This window comes from Homo sapiens, chromosome 11 (genome assembly GCF_000001405.40).
Source record: "Homo sapiens chromosome 11, GRCh38.p14 Primary Assembly".
In the NCBI taxonomy this organism is placed as follows: Eukaryota; Metazoa; Chordata; class Mammalia; order Primates; family Hominidae; genus Homo; species Homo sapiens.
This window is the reverse complement of record NC_000011.10, coordinates 103,299,222-103,326,442: the sequence shown is the minus strand read 5'-3', so window position 1 is coordinate 103,326,442 and position 27,221 is coordinate 103,299,222. Positions and strand designations below refer to the sequence as shown.

General features: G+C 33.4%; 1 protein-coding gene across 5 annotated transcripts in view; it reads right to left on the bottom strand.

Annotated features, from left to right (window-relative positions):
* The window catches only part of DYNC2H1 (dynein cytoplasmic 2 heavy chain 1), a 370,438-nt gene that overhangs the window by 153,421 nt on the left and 189,796 nt on the right, over positions 1-27,221 (bottom strand). For all 5 annotated transcript variants that reach the window (NM_001080463.2, NM_001377.3, XM_017018291.2 and 2 more), the window contains 7 exons: positions 23,190-23,350; positions 21,723-21,848; positions 18,612-18,722; positions 14,410-14,565; positions 9,823-9,898; positions 5,206-5,414; positions 2,453-2,557 (listed from right to left, as the gene is read on the bottom strand). In NM_001080463.2, coding sequence (NP_001073932.1) covers positions 2,453-2,557; positions 5,206-5,414; positions 9,823-9,898; positions 14,410-14,565; positions 18,612-18,722; positions 21,723-21,848; positions 23,190-23,350 — 944 coding nt within the window. The remainder of the gene's footprint in view (positions 1-2,452; positions 2,558-5,205; positions 5,415-9,822; positions 9,899-14,409; positions 14,566-18,611; positions 18,723-21,722; positions 21,849-23,189; positions 23,351-27,221) is intronic.

The window sequence follows — 27,221 nt, the reverse complement described above, 5'->3', positions numbered from 1 at the left end:
GCACAGAGGCGGTTCGTACGTCCCTCCACAGGGCTGGCCCAGAAAGCGTATGGCCGGCCTATCTCCCGGATGCAGCCTGTCAGAGGGAGCCCAACCACCCCGAACACATAGCAAAAGAAACCCGGGGAAGGAGCCAATGATCAGAAGAGGCTCACTCAAAGCCAAGGACGGGGCCCTGGTGAGATGATTTTATTCCCCGCCCCTCCCTCTACTCCCAAGAACGTGCCTGCGAAAACAAGGAAATAACAAAAAAACCACAGGGCTAAGTAAGAGCCTATCTACCAGCCACTACTCCTAAGCGCCATCTATTGGACTGAAGCCCAAACTACAACACTAAACATTATTCTGCTAATAGATGCCGGAAACCAAGAGCAAGAATTCACCCACAAATAAAGACACTGTACAGAGCCTTGGCCCTCTGAAAGCGCCCCAAACCAAACCCAACTGAGTGCACCCAACTTGCATCAGAGTTAAAGGAACGCCAGCCCCACCAGATGAGAATCAGAGAAAAAACTCTGGCAATTCAAAAAGCCAGTGTCCCCTTACCTTCAAAGGAGCCCACTATACGCCCATCCCCCGCCCACCAGCAACGGTCCCTAATGAGACTGAAATGTCTGAAATGACGTAGAATGCAGAATGTGGCAAAAAAGCTCAACAAAATTCAGGAGAAAGTTGAAATCCGATCCAAAGAATCCAAGGTATCCAGTAAATCAATCCAAGAGCTCAAAAATGAAACAGGCATTTTAAGGAAGAACCAAACTGAACTTCTGGAATGGAAAAATTCACTACAAGAATTTCATAATACAATCAGAAGTATTAACAGCAGTATACAGGTGAAAGATCTCCACAAAGAGAACTATGGAAACAGACACATAAACCAACAGAACAGAATAGAGGGCCTAGAAATAAAGCTACACACCTACAACAATCTGACGATCTTTGACAAGGTCCATAAAACAAGCAGTGGGGAAAGAACTTCCTATTCAATAAATGGTACTGGGTTAACTACCTAGCCATGTGAAGAAGATGGAAACTAGACCCACTCCTTCCACCATATACAAAAATCAACTCAAGATGGATTAAAGACTTAAATGTAAAAGCTAAAACTATAAAAACCATGGGAGACAACCTAGGAAATACAATTCTGAACATTGGCCCTGGCCCAAAAATTTCATGACAAAGATGCCAACAGCAATTGCAACCCAAACAAAAATTGTCAAATGAGACCTAACTAAAGAGCTTCTGCAGAGCAAAAGAGACTATCAACAGAGTAAACAGACAACCTACAGAATAGGAGAAAATGTTTGCAAACTAAGTACTCAACAAAGGTCCAATGTCCAGAATCTATAAGGAACTTAAAGAAATTAACAAGCAAAAAACAAACAAGCCCATTAAAAAGTGGGCAAAAAACATGAAGAGATGCTTCTCAAAAGAAGACATACATACGGCCAATAAACATATGAAAAAATATTTGACATTGTGATCATTAGAGAAATGCAAATCAAAACCACAATGAGATACCATCTCATGCCCATCAGACTGGCTATTATTAAAAAGTCAAAAAATAACAGGTGCTGGCAAGGTTGCAGAGAAAAGGGAATGCTTACACACCACTGGTGGGAATGCAAATTAGATCAACCATTGTGGAAAATAGTTTGGCGATTTCTCGAAGAACTTAAAACAGAACTACCATTTGACCCAGAAATCCCATTATTGGGTATATACTCAAAGGAATATAAATGGTTCTACCATAAAGACATATGCACATGAATGTTCACTGCAGCACTACCCACAATAGCAAAGATATGGAGTCAACCTAAATGGCCATCAATGGTAGACTGAATAAAGAAAATGTGATACATAGACAACATGGAATATGCAACATAAGAAAAGAACAAGACCATGTCCTTTGCAGCAAGGAAGTGAAGGAGCTGGAGCAAGACCATGTCCTTCACAGCAAGGATGGATGGAGCTGGAGATCATTTTCATAAGCAAACTAACACAGGAACAGATAACCAAATACCACGTTCTCACTTATAGGTGAGATCTAAACACTGAGTATACATGGATACAAAGAAGGGAACAACAGACACCAGGGCCTACTTGAGGGTGGAGGGTGAGAGGAGAGGGAGGATCGAAAAATTACCTGTTGGGCACTATACTTATTACCTACGTGATAAAATAATCTGTACACCAAACCCTTACGACACACAATTTACCTATGTAACAAATCTGCACATTTCCCCTGAGTCTAAAATAAAAGTTTAAAAAGAAAAAAAATCAGAAAATCAAATATTTTAAAAAATATATTTAAAGTAAAACTGGAATGTGTTGTGAAAATAAAATGTTTAAATAAAGCTTGTGGGGTCTACAGTACTAAATCAAGTTTAATTTTGTCTCCTTCAGGCTCACTAGCAACTTTTTTTGAAGGTAGATCTTTTTTTTAGGTTACCTGAGAACTGATCATGCGCTGAGATGAGCGAGCGATATTGGCAGGCAGACCAAAGAAACTAGGTTTGTCGTCCTCTGGAATTTTCTCAATGACAGCACGATAGTCCTAAATATAAAGAAGTGAAAAACAGTTTTTTTAAAAAATAAAGATTGAACTTACAATCATTGAAATAAGAAAGAATACTTTGAAATGTTCAATTATTATTTGTATTTTTATTTTCTAGATAAATCTCACTTTGTATGATATTAACTCAGTTATCTGTGGGAAGTATTCTGTCATTAATACTTCTTCACACTTCAATTATTTGATATTATATTTTCTTATCATAACTCCCACATACAAAGGGACTCCGAATTATTTACAACATATTTGAGTGATTATGCCTACTATATGTAAGCTACCATGTTAGATGTTTTTAGGATAGCTCTGTAATTTTTTTCCTATAACTTACCAAAGACCAATCTGCAGAGTGCAGTTCTGCTCATGTTAAATTAAGCAGTTATATATATATATATATATTTATATATTCAGGCAATCTACTTTTGTTTCTTTTTAACTTAGAGAAACCTTGTAAACGTGTAGAAGCACTGCTTTGTAAATTGCTTTATAATAGAGCAATTCCAGTTAGTCTTCAGTTTGCTGGTGAGGTGTGATAAAATGCATTGATAATCCTATCATTTCATCCTAAGAATTACCCTACACATTGAATAAGCTTGGCTTGTTGAGCATTCATTTCAACAGTTACTCACTCATGACTTTAAATCAAAAACTAAGTGCAGGCAAAAACACTTATTCAGTTTGGCCTAAACATGGAAACTGTTTTGTTTTCATGAAGAGAAGTTATTTTAAGGCAAGTACTGCACGTGCATCTAAACCGTGTTTGCTGAAGTAGGCATGGGAGACTTGGCCTCTGACTTCCCCTCATCCGTTCTTATCCTTGGCAGCTGACCCTGAAGTATTTCCAAGGAGACAGTTGGACTCCAGGAAGTCCGGGGCCTGTAAATATGTCACATTTTGGAAAGTCATGCTGTTCTTTGAAATTCTTCCAATCCTTTAGCTTAGCATTTGTAAACTTCCTCAAGGTATTCAATCACAATATATACGTATAAATGTATATGTACATGTACATGAGTGTATGTTTGCATATATGTGTGCATGTATTATCGTGGGAAACATTCAGTGTCTTTCATCTAACTCAATTAGAAAGCTAAACAGTGATTGTCATAAGTCATCCTATAAATTTAAAAATATTTACTCTTTGTAGAGTTATACACTTTGCTTATTTCAAAATAGCTATGAAATCTTGTCTAGACTGGCTAGAGTCTTCTGTCTATCTAGAACTATACAGTGATATGCTGACTAGTAACTGGCAGTTACATATTCAGACTGATTTACCCTTACTTGTACATAAAAATATATATATACCACGTGATATAATTTATATAAACAGCACAAAAACAAGAAAACTAGGCTGTTAGAGTTAAGTATAATGTACCCTTTGTGGGAGAGGTAGTAACTAGAAGGGAACATAAGGAGAAATTCTGGGAAGCTAATAATACTCTGTTTCTTGACCCCAGAACTGGCTACACTCATGTGGTCTATGTATGAAAATTCATGGAATTGTGCACTTAGGATGTATACATTTCTGTATGAATTGTATTTTTCAATGTAAGCTTCTAACAATAGAGTTGGAAAACTTGTTGGGGTACACTATCTGAGTTAAATGTATAGTAATTATGCGATATTCTCTATTTATTCATTCCCTCTAAGGTTCTGCTAGAAGGTAAACTCCACAGGTGCATTACTATATCCACAATACCTAGAACAGCACTATCACTGAGCAGATGTTCAATGCATATTATTGAATGAATGAGTAAATTAAAGATACTAGAAACAAAACAGCATACTTAAGGTAATAAGTAAGATAGTCAGTAAGAGTAATATATTTAATAGTGATTTTTAAACTTTTATTTTTTGACAATTATGTGCCAAATGAAGGATTTTTCTTGAAAAAAATTTGGATGAAAGGAAACAGCACAAAACTGAGAGAACTACATAATTGAATAGATATATGCCTTTGTAATTCATGAAGAAATGTATAATTATAGTACTCTAATAAAGAATTATTTGCACACTTATACACAGATAGGTTTATGGCAAAATAAATCAAAATTGAAATCTTTTGGCTATACTTATTACTATTTTCTGGAAAAGATGAGTACATTCTAGGAGGCTTTCATGTGACGGCTCAAGGCAAAAAGCTACAGCTGGCTGAAAAAAATACACAAAATGTTGCTGTGAAAAACAAAGTAAATTCATTTTACATATTTAGACAAGCTTTAAGTGTACAAGCCAGAAACTGAAGACACATATTTATTAAATAATATTTGTCTTCTTTCATATTTTTCAATATATGAGAGTATACTCATGCCTACTATGAAGTGCATATTCTCCCACTTCAGCTTTTCACAGCAGTCCTACCTTATTTGAATTTTCTTTGGCCACTCCCTTCAAGATCTGTCTATATACCAGCCTATTATTATGATCAACCACCCAACTTTCAGTAAGTACTCAAAAGTTTTTAGGATGCCTCACTAAAGTTGAAAGAATCAAGCCATATATTGTCATAACAAATAATCCAAACTGTGAATAATTACTTGTGCATTTGAAAAGAAGTAACATGTATTTAACAATGTAAGAAATGATTCACGTATCTACCTGGAAATAGATTGAAAATCATTCATTTTACCTACCAAAATGCTGCAGGATTGTGGTAGAGATACGGAATATGGAAAAATGCTTTTCTTGTTCCTTTGGTTGAATACATCAATAACTGAAGAATTAAAAAACTGCTTCAGGTATGACTGAAGAACTCTAAGGTCAAAATAGTTGTCTATACGTCCTCCATAAATAGCATTTTCAAGTAAACCATGTACAAATTCCCATTGTACATCTTTGGCACCTATAATTTTAAAAAAACACTCATTAATTTCATTTCTAAAATATTAACTAAATTCCTGCCTTGAGTTATATTTATAACATGTAGCCAAATGTATTTAATACAACTAAATCATTTATTCAAATGACTATTAATAGTAGTAAATATTTGAGATTTTTTAATCAAGTAAAATTTTCCAAATATTTTACATGTATAAATTCACTTAATCCTTATAGCAAAGATAGAAGTATTAATATTATACAATTATACATATGGAGAAACCTTCCTAAGGGATAGGGAGGCTGAGGCACCAAAATGAGAAAGTTATACAATCTCGAAGATCTGAAATAGAAATGAGGTACTCTGAATCCAGTCAGATTATCTGAATTATCTGCCACACAATCCTGGCTACTTAAATTGGAAATTCCTTAAGAGAACCTATCCAAAACATAATTTTACACATTTGATGAAACTGTCAGTTTATAAAATAATCTGATTAACAGGGAAACTCTATGAAACACCTTCACACATTACACTCTTCTAAACGTCATGATTTTACATAGTCAACTATCCACTTTCTATTTTAATAGAAGAGAAATGTAATATTAAAAAGCCACAATGGAACTTTTTGTTTTTGTTTTTTGTTTTTTTGAGACGGTGTCTCACTCTGTCACCCAGGCTGGAGTGCAATGACGCGATCTCAGCTCACTGCTTTGTCCACCTCCCAGGTTCAAGCGATTCTCCTGCCTTAGCCTCCTGAGTAGCTGGGATTACAGGCGCATGCCACCACGCCGCTAATTTTTGTATTTTTAGTAGAGACGGGATTTCACCATGTTGGTCAGGAGGAACTTCTTGTATATTATTTCATTTTGCAACAGAAATATCCTTGTCATCACAATTTTGTGGTAATGTTAAAATGTAAGAATTAAATCTCAGATCACAGTAAATACAGGAGACACATAACTACATTTAAACTAGCTAATAAACTTTATTGTTAGCATTACTAGCATAGTTCCATTTCATTACTATAAAATTTAGAGATATGACAAAAATTGATTATCTACATGCCTTGGAACATAAGGGATTTAGGTTGCCTCCTGCAGGATAAGGGGACCTATATAGTGGAAGAATAAAGTTGTTATCTGCCTACATCTTATAGTCAACAGTGACTAAACAAAGGACTTCACCAGGACTCAAATTTCTAGTTGTCCTGATACTCACTAAATGATACCTTTATCATTTAGACAGTCACTGATAAGTTAGCCAGTCATTGATAAGTCATTAAGGAATACAGACATATTAGTGTATCTTTCAACTTATAAAACAGAAACAGCAGCCATTATGTGAAATATTTTATCGAATTTTTATAAGAAAATCTTATTTTTTTCTACCTATTTTTCTCAAAACAAATTTTATGTTGTTCAGGATAAAATAAAATGAATAGAACTTAAATTACAACAATAGCAATAATAACAGCCAACAATTACTGATAGCTTAACTCCACATATTAAATGTACTAAATGTTAAATGCTTCATGTAGCTTTTGTAATTTAAACTTCTGGATATTCGAATAAACTGAGATAGTGTCTACTATCATTCCTAATTTAAAGATCAGGAAACTCAGGCTTAAAGATTAGGAAACTTGCTCTAGGTCGCATGGCTATTACTCTCAATACCAATTGTTCCCAAGAGTTAGACCTTTTTCTCTTTTTTGGCATTTAATTCTATACATGTGGAAGTTCCTTCATGTCAGAAAATTCTGTAATCAAGATTTAACAGATTTTTACTCAGATTCAATATCATTTTAGAGCATCTGCCTTTTATTCAAAACATAATGGTGTAAGATACCTATTTATATATCTATGTCTTACAATGCTATTAATTAATTCTATCACAAACGTGAAACACAATGATACATCATTCAAATTCTGTTTTGCTTTTCTCTTTTGTGAAAAGGCACTAACACTAATAGCCTCATAGTGGTATTATAAAAGTCAAATAAATATTCAAAAGCATTTTGGAAAATTACCAAGTTTTTAGGCAAGCTGAAAAAAGTATTAGTTTATATCCTCCAAAAAAAAAATCTGTGTCAAATATTAAAAACAACAGTTCACGTAGTGCAGGAAAGTAGTTACCCATGTATGAGGTGGGGAATGTTGGGTCATAGGTAGAAAGGAGTAGGAAGAAGCCACTTCTAAAATACTGATAATGCTGTTCTTATTTTATTTTTTATTTTGGGCAAGTTACATAGGTTCAGTTTATGGAAAATTTATTGAATTGTACATTTATGTGTACTTTTCTGATGTAGAATTTTAAAAAATCTTTTAAACAAACAGAAAATTCTCTTGGAATACTATTTGGCATTAACTAGTAATGGTGAACAAATGCATAACCTGTGGCCTAGCAATTCTACTCCTACATATATACTCAACAGAAATATATCTATATATTCACCTAAAGGTATAGCAGCATTACCCATAATCATCCCAAACTCAAAACTACCAGCATGTCCATCAACAGAAATACATATAATTACACAAAGGTATACTGTATAGCATTGAGAATAAATGGACTACAACTAAATGCAAACACATAGCTGAATCTATCAAATATAATGTTAACTACAGGAACCCAAACACTAGAGCATATATGCTGTATGTTTCCAGTTTTACAAAAACAGGCAAAAGTAATCTATATAGTTAGGTGTCTGGTGTCTACCTCAGGAACAGGGGAAGATAAAGTTAGGGGATGGTAGAGGCTGAAAGGCAACATTACATGAGTAGATTCAGTGGTACTTATAATGTTCTGTTTCTTGATTAAGGTGCTGGCTACGTGGGGGAATTCAGTTTGTGGAAATTTCAGTGAGCCATAATCTTGTAAGTACTTTTTGTCCATATACTTCATTAAATAGGTTTTTTTAAACTTTAAAAATATATAAATTAAAATGGGACTTGGCCACATCCTAGCTGTCCATCCTTATCCTTTTGCCAAAGACAAGTTATAGAAAAAATTTCTGATGCTATTAACTGAAATAATAATTGAGTAACTATGATGGGCTAGGCACTGTTATAAACCTCAAGGATATACACAGTTAACGAGACAAAGATCTTACTTTAAAATAGATAATGCTCTAGTGGGAAGAGAAACAAAATAAGAAAATAAATGAATAAACAAGAAGATATCGAGGTAGTACTAATGTATTAAGACAATATGACAATACAAAGGGATAGAGAATGATTAGATTACTTCAGATTCAGCAGTAAGAAATCAATCTCCAGAAGCAATTCTCTTCTCAAGAGGATACATCCAAGCTGAGAAGTGAACAATAGGAAGAAGAAGGCCATATGAAAGTTTGGGAGGAAAGCATTTCAGACCGAAGGAAGAACACCTATTAAAACCTTCAAGTAAGAACAAGTCTGGCTTGTTTGAGGAACACAAAGATGCCAAATATGGATATAGGTTTTAAACAGGAAAATTATATGCTTTGGTTTGCATTTCTAAAAACTAAAGTTGTTTATGGTATGAAGAATGTTTGCAAGGGTGCTAAAGTGGAAGAAGACCAGGTAAGAAATTATTGCTTGGACTGCCAACACATTGGAAAATAAGCGAATAGAATCATGATGTGATTTGCAAAGGATAGAAATTGCCAAAGCACTGGATGTCTGAGGATGAGAAAAAAAAAAAGAATCCAAGGTGACTCACAGGCTTTAGCCTTGAACAACTATTAATACAGGAATGGTGGGCCATCTACTGAAACGGAGGCAGAATCAGGAAAAAGTATTTGGCAGGGTTGCAGGGTTGGGGGTGGGGAGGAGACAGGAATTGAGAGATTTGTTTGTGATATTTTTAAGTTTGAGATTACTATCAACATACTCTATTCTCTAATCCATCATTGGTCTAAACTCTAGTGTCCCCCTCCCTTCGCCCTGCACAATAAACTTTAGAGATTAGACTGTTCCTGTTTTCAAGGAGGCTGATAGCTAGATGGCCTTAGGGGGTCAGATTAAATGGCTTTATTTGCTGCTGTGTTTCAATCTATTATTTGTACCTTGTTTCCTGAATCCTACTTAGTAATTCAATTATGACTCCACAGATCCTTGGTACTAATCTTAGTCTGCTATACTCCTGAATTTTAACAGTTCCCCTGAAAGACATCTGAAAAATTCAGTTAGTGCCTGAAACTTTTGAAAGCCACAAAGTGAAAACAAGGTCTTTCTAGACTTCTGCTCCCAGAAAGAAGAATCCATGTAAAAACAGATCCATATAAGAACTCTGAGATAACACAGGTATAGAAGTCAAATAAAAAATAAAATAAAAAGCACAAGCAAATTTTGTGATAGGAAGTTAAGCCACTTCTGAAGAAAACATAGTTAATAAGACCTCAGATAAAATATTTTATTAATATGAGATTAAAATTTTTGTTAGAACTTACCATCAAAAAGTCTGTCAATAATGTTGTACCCAGCCCGAAGATCTGATAAAGAAAATTCATAAAACTTTGTCCAACCCTGTCAAAAAACAATTTTTTTAAGTAAACAACTAAGCAGTAGTCAAAGATATATATGTATGTATCACTGTCTTTAAATTAAATGATCAATATAGACTTAAAAATATATAACTCCTGAGAATTTTTAATAAAACCAACACATAATAAATCTAAAGTAACAGTAAACTTAAAAAAAATTAACTGGCCATAGCATGAAAAGTACTTTATAATACCATACTAGTTTTAGTTAGTTATGTGGCAACACAATCATAGAGAACAAACTGATATACTACATTTTTTATTCTAATTGCTATATATACATTGGGATATTTCCTAAAATTTTATCCTCCAGAATTGTGGATTTTCTCCACAAACATACAAAAAAAAATACTGCACAAAAAAAGGCCCAAAAGCTTATAGCAGTATATTCATTCATATTGAACCCACAAAGCATGCGTATCAGAACTAAATAAAATTATATAACTATAACTAATAGCTACAATGTTTGTATAAAATGAATATTCATAGAGCTCTATATTGTGTAGACAATAAATTGAAACATAAAATAATTTCTATATGGCTTCTATTGACTAATTAGTTCTAAGTAATAAAATAAGTTCAAATTAAAATATATTTAGACTTGGATATTAGGAATACTGATACAAATTTCATTCATTCATTCAACACTCAAAAAATATTTTTAAAATATGTATTATATGTCAGGCTCTGGGAATATAAGAATGAACAAAAAAATTATCCCTGCCCTCATGTAGCTTTCAGTAAAACGTGGGAAAGAGTGGGCTGGAGACAATCACTCAAATACATATGCAACTGTAAAATGATAATAACTTTGATGGAGAGAAACATTTAGTATGTTTCACACATATGAAAGAGATCTGACCTAATCTAGAGGAGAGGGAAAGTCACCCTAATGGGGAGAGGGGTGACATACAAAGATAAAAGTAGACAGATTTAAGAACTCGTTAGGAAAATAAAACTAACAGAATTTTTGTATTGGATTGTAATGGAGTATGAAGACATGAAAAAGAGGGCTGTTAAGAATGACTTCTAAGCTTATCGCTCATTCAAATTGATGATGGATGATGTCATTCTTAATAAGTGAAACACTGAAAGAATACAAGGTTTGGGAAGGAATATCATGAGATCACCAAACAAAAGCTTAACAAAGCATTTAAACAAACACATTAAACAAAAACATAAGTTTTGGACTGCTATATACCAGGCCATGTTTTCGTCAATTAAAACATAGCAATAAACAAGAGGCAAATATCTGTGCACTTGGGAAGCTTAAATTCTAGTGCTTGATCCAGAATACGTGAATTTTCAGACATGTTTGAGACATCCAACTGGATATGTCAACTGCCAGATATGCAAACATACAGCCTAGAAAATTGATCTGAGCTGTATGTGTAAATTTGGGGTCAATAGCATTTGGATACTTTTTTAAAAAAAGAACATTGTGGATATTATGAAAACAAAAGATTTAAATTTTGCTGTTAGCAGATTTAAGAATTAAAGATCTCTAAAGGATATGTACCCATCAACAATTAACAAAATTCCTCTAATATTTATCTAAACTTTCTAACAATTCAAAAGTCTTAATAAAATTTCTTATATCATTCTGTTAGACCGTATGTGAAAAAGTTTATTTTTAAAAAATGTTTAATACCTTGAAGATCAGTATTTTTAAAATCCCCAAATTAGAAAACCGTTGCTATCAATATTGCTTAATATATATACCTATGACATGTCTCTAATAAAAATTGTCTCTAACAATTCTATTGTTAGAGACCATGTCATAGGTATATATATTTTGTCTACATTTACCTCCAGTGTTATGATTTTTATGACAACAACAGTATGGTATGAAAAAAAGTGACATTCTCCAACTTTTTTTTTGTGGGAAAGTGAATTGCTGTATCCCCTATGGATAACAATTTGGTAATATTTACAGATTTCTAAAAATACATATATTCTTTGACCCAAATATTCCACATTTAAAAATTGACAGCTATAAATAGGTGTTAAATGAAGCATGCATAGGGATCTCCATTGCAACATTTTTTTATATTCACAAAAGTTGAAAAGAATATATATGCCCATCCAACAATCCAAAACTGCTAAAAAATTATAGCAATATTATGTAATACAAATAATATTTTTAAGTTAGGCATTAAATAGACACTGATACTTAACAATGTCAAACATATTGTTTTAAAAAGCAAGGTACAGAGCTGTGCTTGTAATATGCTACCTACTGTTTGAGTTATAAAGAACATAAATGCATATAGAAATTAATATGTTTGTGTATTTATACAATCTCTCTGAAGCACAAACAAGAAATGGTTAATAGTGGACCCTCTCAGAATAGAAAGTGGGTGGCAGGGAAGTAAGTAGGGAGGAACCTAACTTTTCATTACAAACCATTTTATATCTTTTTTATTTATACCATGTGCCTATATAACTTAATAATAAAATCTAAATTTTTAATGTAACTTTTCTCAATAAAGGTAAATCACTATCAGTGTTGTTCATCTATCCTTCAGGATTAATTGATATATTAGGCTAAGGACAGAGGTCAGAGAAGTCAGGAAAAAAAAGATTTACAGGAAGATGTGCCTACCCATTTTGGAACTCTACTTTTTAGGTGTGATTCTTTGAGCAAGTTAACTATGATCAATGAGTCCTCCCCATAAGTGTGGTATACATATTATAAGAAACAACACAATGCTATTATTGTTTACTATTTCATCTGTTTGACAAATGTTTATTGACAGGCTACAAATCAGACACTGTGTTAAGCATTAAACATACACTATTTCATTTGATGCCCACAATAAAGGTAAATATGATTGTTACTCTCGTTCTACAGTTGAGGCAACTGACGCTTTTGGGGGTTAAAACAGTTTACCCAAGGTATCACTGCAAGGAAACTCTCAAGTCAGGACTCAAATGCAAGTCTGTCTAGCTCCAGAACCTATGCTCTTGTTTTGACATGGCACTGAAACAGAGAGGTTAAAAGGGGAGCAGCATGAGGGGGAAAGTTTGAGGAGAGATTTTCCTCAACAGAAGTGGACCAAGTTGAAAAAAGAGGATGGGAAAAATTTAAAGATGGAAGAGTGATGCAATTTACAGCTGAGAGAAGCATTTGGCAAGAAGAATTGACCATTAGTACCAGATATGACTGCCATGGCAATGGAAAAAATGCAGTTTATTGATTGTGATGACGATAACAGATAGAGAGCCTTTGGTGAGAAAGAGTAGACAGATTCAAGACCTTAAAAAAGCCCAGCATGACTGAAGTATAGAATGCAAGTGACACAAAGGGCCTGAGAGGAGGCTGAAGAGATAGGTGGGTCTTTTCTTCTGGACTATGGTAAGGCATATCTTTTCCCTAAGTACAATAAAAAGCCACTTGATAAATTTTAAGCAAAGTAATAACCAAACTCAGATATTAGAAAGATAATTCTGGTTGCTAAATGCAAAAAGTAGGAAGAACAGTTGGAAGACAAATTCAGAAAGTAGTACAGGTGAGAGGTGAGGTTTAAAATGGTGAAGTACACATATTTAAATTATATTTTGGAAGTAGAATTAACAAGACTTGATGATGGATTGGATAGGGAAGCTAAGAAACACAACATATCAAGAACAGCTCCTGAGTTTATAGACTGAGGAAGCAGACAGATACCAATGGCTTTTATTGGGAAGAACTGACTGGTATGGGGAATACAAGTTTTGAAGTTTGAGACGTCTAGGCAATATAAACTATAAAAATGATACCTAACACTCATTGAGGGCTTATAATGGGTCACAAATTGTTCTTAATACTTTAATACAATGAGACGTGAAGTAGTTAGCTATATACAGTCTAGATTAGCAGAAAAGATCAAATTAAGGATATAAATTTAAGTCATGAGCCAAATTACTATGTAAATATGTAAATATGTAAACCTAGCTATTTATACTACATTACAATTGGTTTTTTTTTTTTTTTTTTTTTTTTTGAGGCAGAGTCTCTTTCTGTCACCCAGGCTGGAATGCAATGGCGTGATCTCGGCTCACTGCAACCTCTGCCTCCTGGGTTCAAGCAATTCTCCTACCTCAGCCTCCCAAGTAGCTGGAACTACAGGCGTGTGCCACTACTTTTTTTTTTTTTTTTTTTTTTGAGATGGAGTTTTGCTCTTGTTGCCCAGGCTGGAGTGCAATGGCACAATCTCGGCTCACCACAAACTCCGCCTCCCGGGTTCAAGCGATTCTCCTGCCTCAGCCTCCAGAGTAGCTGGGCTTATAGGCATGCGCCACCATGCCCAGCTAATTTTGTATTTTTAGTAGAGATGGGGTTTCCCCATGTTGGTCAGGCTGGTCTCAAACTCCGGACCTCAGGTGATCCGCCCACCTTGGCCTCCCACAGTACTGGGATTACAGGCATGAGCCACCATGCCTGGCCACAAAAATATTTTAACATACAAAAATATAAAGCTTAGAATGTATTCAAGACATGTTCTTACTTACCTGAGGAATATAGTTTCTTCTTTCTTGACATGCAGCATGAAACCATGCAAGACTGAAGAGAGCATGAGCTCGATGTGTATTATCTTTTTTGCTAATTTGCTCAGGAGTCCAAGACTCATAAGTACGCATTAAATTCTTCTTTAAACCTGGAGGTGACTAGAAAAAAAATCAACAGACATCCTATTGCTAAAATCCTACAAGTAAAATATATTAGATTTTAACATATTTAAGAACATAATTTAAAGAAAATTTTTCACTGCTTACCGGGTTTGAGTTAAATTATTATGTTACTTCAAAATGTACATAAAACTAGTGTTAAATTGCTTATATCTAACAGTTCATCTCAAATATAAATACAGAATAATTATTCAAATTTAAAAATCTATACAATAATATTCAAAATAACCAAATAAGTTTTATAGGATGATTGAGAGGTTTTTTTTTTCCCACTGACACTAAATCACTACTTAATAATACTAATGTGATATTGATTGTTATGGGACAGGTATTTGAGTTTAATACAGCAGCTTTCCCTTACTAGTTGCTATTTGAATTTCCATGAGGAATTCAACATACCATTTACATAGAATGTCAACTAACGTTCCTTATGCATTAGTCCAGATTTAAAGTATTACCTAACATTGCTAGGTTCATAGACACAAAAATCCAGGAAGTGAAATTATATATCAGACTAGTATAAAATCTTTAAAAATGTTCATCCATATGTATCATATCTGTCATTATTTTTTAAATTATCAAAATGATAACTTTTCAAGTTCATGGGAAAATAGCAAAACAACCCCCTCGAAAAGAATTCTAATATTAAAAAATATATAATGTGGGTTTTTCTGCCCAAGTTATTCTAATTAGCTTGTTTTAAAAATAAAATATTTCTTCCAAAATGGTTTCTAACATAAAAATAATAAATTCAGGGCAATACTTTAAGAATGCCTACTACAAAAATTAGTCATCCCCTTTGAAATCCTTTTCATTGTTATTTCTTAAGTAAAACGACCTTCTTCTTTAAAAAGTGGCTGGGTATGGTGGCTCACGCTTGTAATCCCAGCACTTAGGGAAGCTGAGGTGTGTGGATCACTTGAGGTCAGGAGTTCGAGACCAGCCTGGCCAACATGGTGAAACCCGCCTCTACTAAAAATACAAAAAATAAATAAAAAATTAGCCAGGTGTGGTGGTGCACACTTGTAATCGCAGCTGCTCAGCAGGATGAGGCAGGATAATTGCCTGAACCCAGGAGGCAGAGGTTGCAGTGAGCCAAGATTACAAAGATTACACCACTGTTCTCCAGCCTGGGCACAGAGCAAGACTCAGTCTCCCAAAAAAAAAAAAAAAAAAAAAAAAAGAAAATACACTACTGAAGTATTAAGTACCTATCAAATTTACACTTTTTTAATGAAAGCTTTTATGTTTATGAAACATTTACAAAAACCACCATAGATAAGGCCAAATTTCTGCACACTACTCAATAAAACATGACATTAATAGGAAACCAAACAACCACTTAGAGTTTTTAAAAAGGCACTACACTAAAGATCATACAAATTAATAAATCCTATACAGTTACATAGAAAATCACATATAAGTACAGACTGAAAAATAAATGAAACAAAAATACTAATATGCCAAAATTATGAAATAAAGCCAAAGACATATTAAGCTGCAAATTCAGACTTAGAACAATTTCAGTATGAATACAAGCAAATACAAAACAACCATTCAACTCAAGAAATCAGGAAGAAGAAAACGAGAAAAAATCTAAAGACAGCATTAGAAAGGAAAACAGAAAAAAGAAGAAAATTCGGTGAAATGAAAAGAATAAGAAAAAGCAAATTCATAAGTATAGCAACAGTTACTTGGAAAAACAATTTTTTAAACAACTCTGACAACTAATCGAAAAAGGAAAAAAATAATGAAGTGAATTTAACAATTTTAAAAAATAATATATGCCCATATTATATATATGCACATACATATAATCATTTTGAACATCTCAATGAACTACACAGATAGTCTAAGCTAAGATAGTTAAAATTTCCTATAGTGATTCAAGAAATAAAAAAATTCACTAATAATTGAAATCAAATTGGAAATTCCCATAAAAATATAATCAAATTACCTCTTAACAAGATCCCAGAAAAGGTTACACATTAAAACATTCAAGGAACAGTTTACCTGGTATAATAATACTCTCTTATCGAAATATTTACTGAATTCCTCTTACTTGGCCTTGAATTACATGCTAAGTTCAAAAATGCAAGCAAAAAAAAATACCCCCTGCCCTCATGGCTCATGCAATCCAGTCCTAGAATATAGATTAGTAGAATTGTATAGTGGGATTGTAGCTGGAGAAGATTCTGGGAAAGTTCTTTCTTACTAGACCTTATAATCATTCAATTAAAATATTTCTAATATTAAATCATCTTTGCATTTCTGGATTAATGCTTACCCTTTTTTTTTTCCTTAAATGAAACAAACACCTTCAGATGAAAAAGAGCAGTACTGATCTAAAATAACAGGTAGGACCAGGCACAATGGCTCATGCCTGTAATCCCAGCATTTTGGGAAGCCAAGACAAGAGAATTGCTTGAGCCTAAGGAGTTCAGGACCAGCCTCGGCAACATAGTTAGGCCTCGTCTCTCAAAAAAAAGAAAAAAAAAAAGAAAAGAAATAAAAAAATTATCTGGGTGTGGTGAAGCACCTGTAATTCCACCTACTCAGAAAGCTGAGGTGGGAGGATTGCTTGAGCCCAGCAGGTCGAGACTGCAGTGAGCTGTGATAGCATCACTGCACTCCAGCCTGGGTAACAGAGCGAGACCCCATCTCAAAAAAAAAAAAAAAAAAAAAAAATAGCATGCAGTTACAAACACTAATAAAATGACAGTTTTAATAGTTTGCTATTTCATTTATGACTCTGACAAATCACAAAATATCATTACAAACACAATTTTAGCTATATAAGGTTTGGGTTGGATCTACCTAGCATTACATATTAGAGAGATACAAGGATGGATGGACATAAGCATAGAAGGAAGGCAGGGAGGTTGGGAACAATCAACAGAGTGAAAAGCAATCTATAGAATGGGAGAGAATATTTGCAAACCATACATCTGATAAGATACTAAGCAATTAGTATCCAGAATATATAATGAACTATTAATACAACTCAACAGCAAAAAATTAAATAATTTTAAAAGTAGGCAAAGAATTTGAAAAGACATTTCTCCGAATAAGATATATAAATGTCCAAACATATGAAAGATGCTCAACGTTACTCATTACCAGGGAAATGCAAATCAAAACCACAAACAGACATCACCTCACACCCACTCAGACGACCACTATTAAACACACACACTCAAAGAAAAGTGTTGGTGAGGATGTGGACAAATTGTTCAGTGCTAGTGGGAATGTAAAACGATGTAGCCACTATGAAAAACAGTATGAAGTTCCATCAAAAACTTAAAAATAGAATCACCATATGATGCAGCAATCCCACTTCTGGCTACATATCCAAAATAATTGAAAGCAGAATCTTGAAGAGATATGTGCTCACCAGTGTTCACTGTATTATTCACAACAGCCAAGAAGTCAAAGACCTAAATGTCCACTGATGGATTAATGGATAAAGAAAATGTGGTATATACATACAATGAAATATTATCCTATCTTAAGAAAGGAAATCCTGCCACATGCTAAAACATGGATGAACCTTGAGGACATTATGTTAAGTGAAATAACAAAAAGATAATCCATGATTTTACTAAATGAGGTAGCTAAAGCAGTCAAACTCTTAGAAAGTAAAATGGTGGTTGCCAGAGGATAGGGCAAAATGAAGAGTTGCTCTTCAATGGTCATAGAGTTTCAATTTTGCAAGATAAAAAAAGTTCTACAGATCTACTGCACAACAAGGTGCATATTGCACTACACACTTAAAAATTGTTACGATAGCAAATGTCATGTTATGTGTTTCTTACCACAATAAAAACAAAAAACATAAGTATGAAATAAAATTTGAAAAGATTTAAATGTATTTTACATCATCTTATGCTATTATCTATGTATACCTCATCTAAATGTAAAAAGAAGTTGTGTGTTCTGTATAATAGTTGTTTACAAAGTTTTAGAAGTCATGTATAGAGTACTGCTTTCATACAACTGGTGATCCAAGTTTTAAATCTTCTTACCTCATATGTTATCTTCAGACTTGACTGTAGTAAAATAGGAGTAAAGTTGGGATGAACTTCTGCAGTGAGCCAAAGACGAAAGGTATCTTTAGGTTGAAGAGTATTCAATTCCTTGTTTACAAAACCAATGACAAAAATTTACTTAAATATATATGAAAGTTTCTCTTTTACATTACATTATTAGTAACTATTTTTAATTAAAACTTTTGTGACATTCTGATGTATTTCTTAATGCTCTGGTTATATTTCCTTTAAATTTTTATCTTTTCTATTACTAGCTCAGTGTAATGAATAAGAATCTCCATCTAAAGTCATGTTGACTGGGTTGAAATTCATACTTTGCCACTAATCTGCTATGTGACCTTGGTCTCTTTGACTTATTCCATCTCTAAACAAGGATAATAATAGCACCTATCACAAAGAATTGTTTAAGACACTAAAACAGTGCCTGATACATAGTAAGTTCAAAGTAAGTGTTAGCTACAATTGCTATGCCTAAACTACCAGCCTTCTTAAGGTCTTTAGATTCTCACTGCTTTAATTCATGCTTCTACAGAGTTATATAATGATATTAATTCCCTTATTTACAATTTTTAGTAGCACCTTATGGCCTATAATATAAATTCAAAACTTCACCATACAAATTCATCTGCCCATGCTTCTCATACTGTGGGCTTTAGTCATTTATCCAGACTCTTATGACTATCTTTACTCATCATATTTCCTCTGCCTATTATTCTCTTTGTACTCTGACAAATTATTACTTATCTGTCAAAATACAATTTAAATATTATGTCTTAGTGGAATATCTTCTCCAACTCTTCACTATCACAATCCCAACCAGATTTAATGACCCATGTCATTTTGTAAATTTTTCCCACAGTATTCTTCATCCCACAATATAGTTATTAATGTGATCTGTCTCTTCTAAATTAAGTTCCCAGAGAGCAGGTACAAATTCTGTAGGTAACCAGAACCTGGCACAATTTCTGGCTTTTTCTTGTACTCAGCAAGTATTTGTAAATTTAATAAATGAATAAATAAATGACAGAAGAAGTTTTGATAGCTCTAAAAGAGAATGAAGTCTAAAAATTATTTTAATATAATTGATGTTTAACACTAACATTCATTTAATATCACGTGAAATGTAGAGTTAAGATGACAAAAAAATGACAAAAGAATGGCCCTAAAAACATTGTGCTTGCTTAAAATTATAAAGGATAAAATGTATTTACACCTCATAACTTTAAAATGTAAAGTTTATATAAAACTTTGCTTTGGGTTAGCAAATCTAAAAAAATTTAAAAGGTAAAAGAAACAATACATTGTGATATAGTTGGATTTATAGCTGGATATAGTTGGATTTACAGTAAATTTATAAATTTATATCCAATCAATCCACCCAAACTAATAGAAAAGCAAATAATAATCAGTTATTTTAAAAATTATATAATATTATGTACTGTTTCTACGAGTTCTAATTAAGATGTGCTTTCAAGATAATAACTCTAATTACATTTTACATAGATTAGTAGCTATCAATCAACTGTTTGACACAGAAAGCAGTACAAGTATTTGCCAGTCTTTTTTACATATCTTAAAACATACATGATTTATCAGGCTAGGCGCGATGGCTCACGCCTGCAATCCCAGCACTTTGGGAAGCTGAGGCAGGCAGATCACTTGAGGCCAGGAGTTCGAGACCAGCCTGGCCAACAATGGCAAAACCCTGTCTCTAATAAAAATACAAAAATCAGCCAGGCATGGTGATGCATGCCTGTAATCGCAGCTACTTGGGAGGCTGAGGCACGAGAATCATTTGAACTTGGGAGGTGGAGGTTGCAGTGAGCCAAACTTGTGCCACTGCACTCCAGCCTGGGTAACAGAGCAAGATTCTGTCTCAAAAAAAACCCAAAACAAAACATATATGATTTATCAGACATAAATTTTATATTTTTACACATTAGTAATTTTTACAGAAAGCCATAATAGAATTACATGAATATTCATAGTCCAAAATCTGTATCTTCTCTTGATTACAAGTAATGAATCACGAATCACCATGGTCCATCAACTCATTCACTCACTCATTAACTTACTCATCAAAAATTTACTGACTATTTGTGGAAGTGTGTAGTTGCCAATTAATTAGGACTGCAGAGATTTTTAATACCTCACACCTAGGGCAGGACCTCCCTCAATTTACTCTATTCTGTTTGTTTCTATTCTATATACCACTGCCAGAAAAAATTAATTAATTAATTAATTACTAACTTCTCTGTTAAGGACCTCCTTTGGCCCTCTAAGTCCCAGGACAAAAATTCCAAAATGTTCTGCATGGTTCTCAGGGTATTCCATAACCTAGCTCTTTCCTAGTCATCTAATTCAATTTCCCCACGCTTCCCTGCCTGGCCCGTCTAGTACTATCAAGGACATCTCTTCATTCCTTGTACTAGGGGTGGACATCCCCAACACTATCTCTACTTGTGCTGATGGAATTAAAATCATGATATCCTTTCTTTGCCTATACTTAGCAAAATCCTATTTGACTTTCAAGGAATATCTCTTCAGAATCATCTTTAACTACCCAAGACCCTACTCATCTTTCTTAAATAAGCACTAGAATAAAATCTAGGTTTGCATGTAAAGCCCATCCAGTGACTTGTCCTGTCTTAAGATTATTTTTCTCCTGAGTCCATTTGAGATAAACGAAACATTTGCTTCAGTTTATTCTCTAGCTTCCTTAGCACCTAGGAAGTTAGGCAGTTCCCTCTGACACCCCACTATGTCTCTTCTCCCAATACAGATCAACAGAATAAGAGCAAAAAAAGAAACTCATGGTATAAATATGTCTTCTAAGCTTCCCTGTCAATCTTCATTAAAAATGTCTTGGCTTCTCTTATATGCCTTTAAAAAAAGATTTTTATAGACTTCCTATTAATGTCTTATTTTGCAGAATTGTACATATTTATGAAATATTTAAATTTAAAATTTCTCAAATATTACTTTTTAAATCATCATAAATAATGCATGACATTTTAATACTGATGTCCCTTGGAGATTGCTAAGTTGAGTATAATAGATATTATTTGTACATTTATCTGAATCTACCTTTTCCAGAACTGGCAGCCAAGATACCACAAGATGTAAGTTCTTCAAACAGAGCCAGTCTCCATTGCGGGCACATTCTTTTAGCATTTGAATTGCTAAATCAGCTTGACCTTGACCCATGGCAACCTACAAAAGCAAAAAAACAAACAAAATTTAAAAACAGATCTGCTAACATGTTGTAATATAACAGTATGAGATTCAATAATAGTAATCCCTAAACCTTCCTAACTGGCTTTAATAATAAATTTGGAAGAAGAATCAAACTAATACCAGAAATTAATCTTCATTAAATAATTAAAAGCTTATATGAATAGTTTAACCTTCCTGCCAAAATCACTAGTAACAGGTACAATCTGTAGAGCTCCCCTTCCTAAGATCCCTCACTGATAACTGAATATTGACCTAATGTATAAACTAATCTACTCTAACTATGATTGACTAGAACTCTCTAGACTTAGTGCAAAACCTTCACACCTGAGCCTAACAGCGCTGCTATTTTGCTATCTTTCATTTATATTTTTCTTTGTAGAATTTTCACTTTTCAATTTTTGGTTGCTATGAAGTATTCAGTTGTTTAAAAAATCATTATTAACTATTTTCCCTGTGAAAAAGATGTATTCACTTCTTAAAAATTGAGGGTGAATTAATACATTTCATTTTCAAATTTACATGCAAATTGAAAAAAAGGCACCCTGAACAAACAAAAGTTCCTACCTCAGGGAAAAAAAAAATGGCATTACAATGAATACATTTTACTCAAGATTTTCTGGATTTCTTTCAGGTCAGGTAAATAAAGTGTAAATAAACATTACTGTGATTTATTATAAAAGCATCCAAGTAAAATTTTAAAAATAATTCTCAAAATGGTAGCAAATGTATGAATTTCCTATAACTGCTTTAAGAAATTACAACAGATTTAGTGCCTTAAATTACCATCAGACTTCTGGCGGCCAGAAGTTTCACTGGTCTAAAATCAAGGGTCTGAGTTTGAAAACAAAGGTACTACTATAGGGCTATGTTCTTTCTAAAGGCTCTAAAAGATAATTCTTCCCTTGTTTTTTCCAGTTTCTGAAAGCCACCTACATTTCTTTCCTTATGGCCCGTTCCTCCATCTTCAAAGCCAGTAGCACAGCACCTTCTCACTTCTCTGACCTCTACTTCTATCATCATATCTCCTAGCTGCACTCTCGACTCACCTGCCTCCCTCTTATAAAAAACCTTTGTGATTTTATATTGGGTCCACCTGGCTAATCCAGGCTACTCTTCCCATCTGAAGATCCTCAATTACATCAGCAAAGTTCCTTTTGCCATGGAAAATAACATATCCACAGTTCTGAGGATTAGGACATAGACATTTTTGGGGGCATTATTTGGCTTATCACAACAAAAAATGTCCATTTGACCAATATCATCAAGTGTGGGAACAGCAATAGCAAAAACAAAAACAGCGGGACAATATGTACTTACCTGGTGATAACACTCTCCGCTTCTTTCAGCATTAGCTAGTTCTTGAAGTTCCTGAGAAGGATCAGCACCCGGAGAAATAATTATCAAGATGGGTTCAATTTCCAGTGTCTCTTTGTATAAACGTTTGAGATTTAGAGGCAGTGGGGACACCTCTTTCAGTCCTAAAATATATATTTTAAAAATTAAAAATAAAAGCAGTATGCATTATTAAAAAGTTTATTAAATCTAATTATATGATATATAATAGAGAATACCCAGGTGAGTTGTAATCTCATAATACATTAAAGTTTTTCTACTCTAAAATAATATACTAGTAATAGCCAACATCTGTTTTATGCTTAAGGTGCCGGGCATTTTTCTAAATGTTTTCCACGTATGATATCATCTTCTTATTACAATGCTATGAGGTAGGTACCCTGATTACCACATTTAACATCTGTGTTGTAAATTGAGACCACAATACAGGCCTGTAGCTGTACTGTAAATTGAGACCACAATGCAAGAGAAGACTGAACCCAACCATCAATCTATATATCTCATTAGTACAATACAATTCATTAACTGATATGATAGTTGAGTGCCTACTCTGTGTCACGCATATGGGGAATCAGATTTCTCATGATCTGAGTAAATGATTTCACTGGCATGATATAGGCCAAAAAGTTATTTCTTATGCCCATGTGTTATGGGGAAAAAAAGTTGTATGGAGAGTGAAAAGAATGCTTCATTTAAGACAGAAGTACATAGCTGTCAGTTTATATTTGTTAGCCAAATGACTCTATGCAAATCATTAAAATGCACTGTGCCTCAGTTTCCTCAATTGCAAAACAAGGATAAAGCAATCCACAGGTACTCTGGAAGCAAAATAAGTATAATAATTGTAACAAATTCTATTTATTCATCACCTACTGAATACTAAGCATTATACTGGGTAGTTTATTTAAATGATATATAAACCATACAATGCTCCTGAGAAACAAATATCACTATATTAATTTTATAGGTAAGAAAACTAATACTCAAAGAAATTGATTATCTTGCCAAAGGGCACCCAGCTGCCACCATTAACTATATTTAAACAATTCATCTGTGATTTTTCTGCTCTGTAGCCCTTCACAAACTATAAAGTCCTATTCAGATAAGAGATTATAATTTTGCTATTATATTTAAATCTCTTCTGCTAAAACTTGAAAGTTTCCATTATTAATATATTTCATAAAGGCCAAACTGAAAAGGCTCATGTCAATTAATAATTTAAAATATACTTGTTTGAATTGAGCTAAAATGAGTGTTACACAGGAGTTTAAAAATAAACGAAAAATTAGGAGAATGTAACTGAATGAGTACATGGGCAAGAAAGGCTTCCATATATTCTCAAAAATAGAAGTGAATAGACAAGACTGCACCTCAGATATGGACATCCTTAAAGAATTAAGAATAATAAACACTTTAAAATATAAACTCTGTGTTATCATGATGGGTCAAAAGAGACAATTCTAGATAGCCAACCAGAAAAGGTACATTTCACGCCTAAAGCAGCACCCTTGTCTGTTCTTCACAACAACTACCCATAATGCTAAGAATTTCCAAAGGCAGAAATATTCCTAATAACAGGTGAAATTTACTCCAAGAGCCACTTAAAATTGATGAATTGCTTTTAGAGGCATATTTTATAAATTTTCTTTTTAACTAAGTTTAAATTGCTAACAACTATTCAATTGTTAGCAATTTAAATTTAGCAATAAAGAATTCTTACATACTTGCAATGCAGTAAGAAATATTTCCATTGATTCAAGCATTCAGTTATTTATTCATTAACTCAATAAACATCTAGGCCAATTAAATATATTGTCTGATTTAATAAAGTGTATCAAAAGTCTTAAAAATGTACATGGCCTTGATCAGTAATTAAAATTAGAATAACTTAAGAAACAATTCAGGATATGGACGCAGAAGCATGTACAAGGGCTTTTCATTGTAGCTGTTGATATTAGCTAAAAACTGGTAGAAAGAAACTGAGTTTCTAACAGGAGTCTGAGTAATTTCTGATAGCCATACATTAAAACTGAAGTTACAAACATGTTGAGGTAAAAGATAATTTACAGAAAAATCAGACCATTCAAGAGATTTGGCAATAATTCCATATTGTAATGTATACACTTCTATGTGCATAAAAAGAAAGCAAAGGCATACATAGAAACGTTAACAATGATTAGTGTTAATGATGGAATACCAGGTGTTTCTCATTTTCTTTTCATGTCTATGCATTTTCTGATACTCCTGTAATTACCATGTATTATACAATAAAAATGTCAAAATATATATAAAATATTTACATTTAAAATAACTACTTACTGACTTAAGTGTATTTTATTTGGAAAATACATGCCAGTACAAAAACTGTCTAAAAAAGCTAAAATGCAGATTACCATACCACTTGTTTATTTAACCAATGTACACTGTAAACTTCATGAGGGCAAGAATCATACTGAATCTTTCACTACTTTATTATCCAGAGCCTAGTAAATTCAATTATAACTTTTAATTTTAAAATCCCACAGGATATAAATATATGTCCATTAATTCATTTTACACAATATTTCAAAGCAATAAAACATTTTGAGTTGGAGAAAAAAATCATGAAAAATACCTTGCCATTTAATATAACACAGGTGACATTCATGTTACTTGGAATTATATGTTAGCCATCCTGCCCACAAAACTCCAGCAAAATTTCTGTTGCACTTTAAGTGAACTGAGTATACTGGTTTTATCAATCCAAATAATTCTGATTCATGATACCATCAGAATCATCAATATGAATCATTCAAAACTATTTAATATAGTTAGAGAGCCAAAAATAATAATTGCACTGTGAATTATCATGTAAAACTATTTGGAAATCACTGGAACTTTATATTCTGACCATAATTTAAAAAATAAATACAGCACTTCCTTCAAAAAAATAAGAATAAGACAAACGAATAACTGAAACCTTTATTGTTTTTTATTTTATGCAAATACAATACTGAGATAACAAAAAAGAAACAACTTGCAGTTCAAAAAGGAACAAATTGACTCCCGTACTTTGCAGGTACCTGAGTAAAGAAAGTGGCAAATTATCAAAACTATTATACGTAGTAAGTATAATAGATTCATTCTTTTTAATTCCTCTCATCCTCCATAACAAAGAGCTGATAAGTATCAGATGTATAAAATTACCTTTCTTTTATGAGAAAACAATTGTAAAAATGTACCACAAACATCAATAAAAAGAGGAAAATCAACAGCCACTACCTAACCCAATATATATGAACCAATTAAATGGGAAACTGCACTTTAGAAATGGAATAGTACTGAACCCTAGAAACAAGTAAAAATGTCAAATATATTGTGGTAGGCAGAATTCTAAAGATACCTCTTTCAAGAATCCTAAGCCCTGGTTATTCAATCAAAAACTAAACTAAGTACTGCTGTGAAGGGACTTTGCAAATGTAACTAAGGTCATGAACCTAAAAGTAAGAAGATTATCCTGTGTTATTCAGGTGGGCCAAGCTAATCAATTGACCCCTTGAAAGCGGAGCAGTTTCTCTTGTTAGAGTCAAAGAAGTGTAGCAGAAAAGAGAAACAGGAGTGATATGAAGCATGCAAAGGAATCGATCTGCTAATGTTGGCTTTAAGGATGGAGGAAGGCTAGATACCAACTGGCATCCAAAAGCTGAGAATGACACCAAAAGACAGAAAGAAAATGGGGACCTCACTCCTAAAACTGAATAGGGCTGAACCTGAATGGGTTTGGAAGTGGATTTTCCCCAGGGCTTCCAAAACTTGGAGCAAAGAAACCTGGTGAGCCCATCAGGTTTCTGACCTGCAGAAGATGATAACTGGGCATTGTTTAAACCTGATAAATTTCTAGCAGCAACAGAAAATGAATGCACATATCCTTATGTCTTTCTTTCTTTTAGACACAAACTTGATAAGACAGATTGAGCTATGAAAGCAGGGTGCATGGGATGGGATGATGCCATAAGA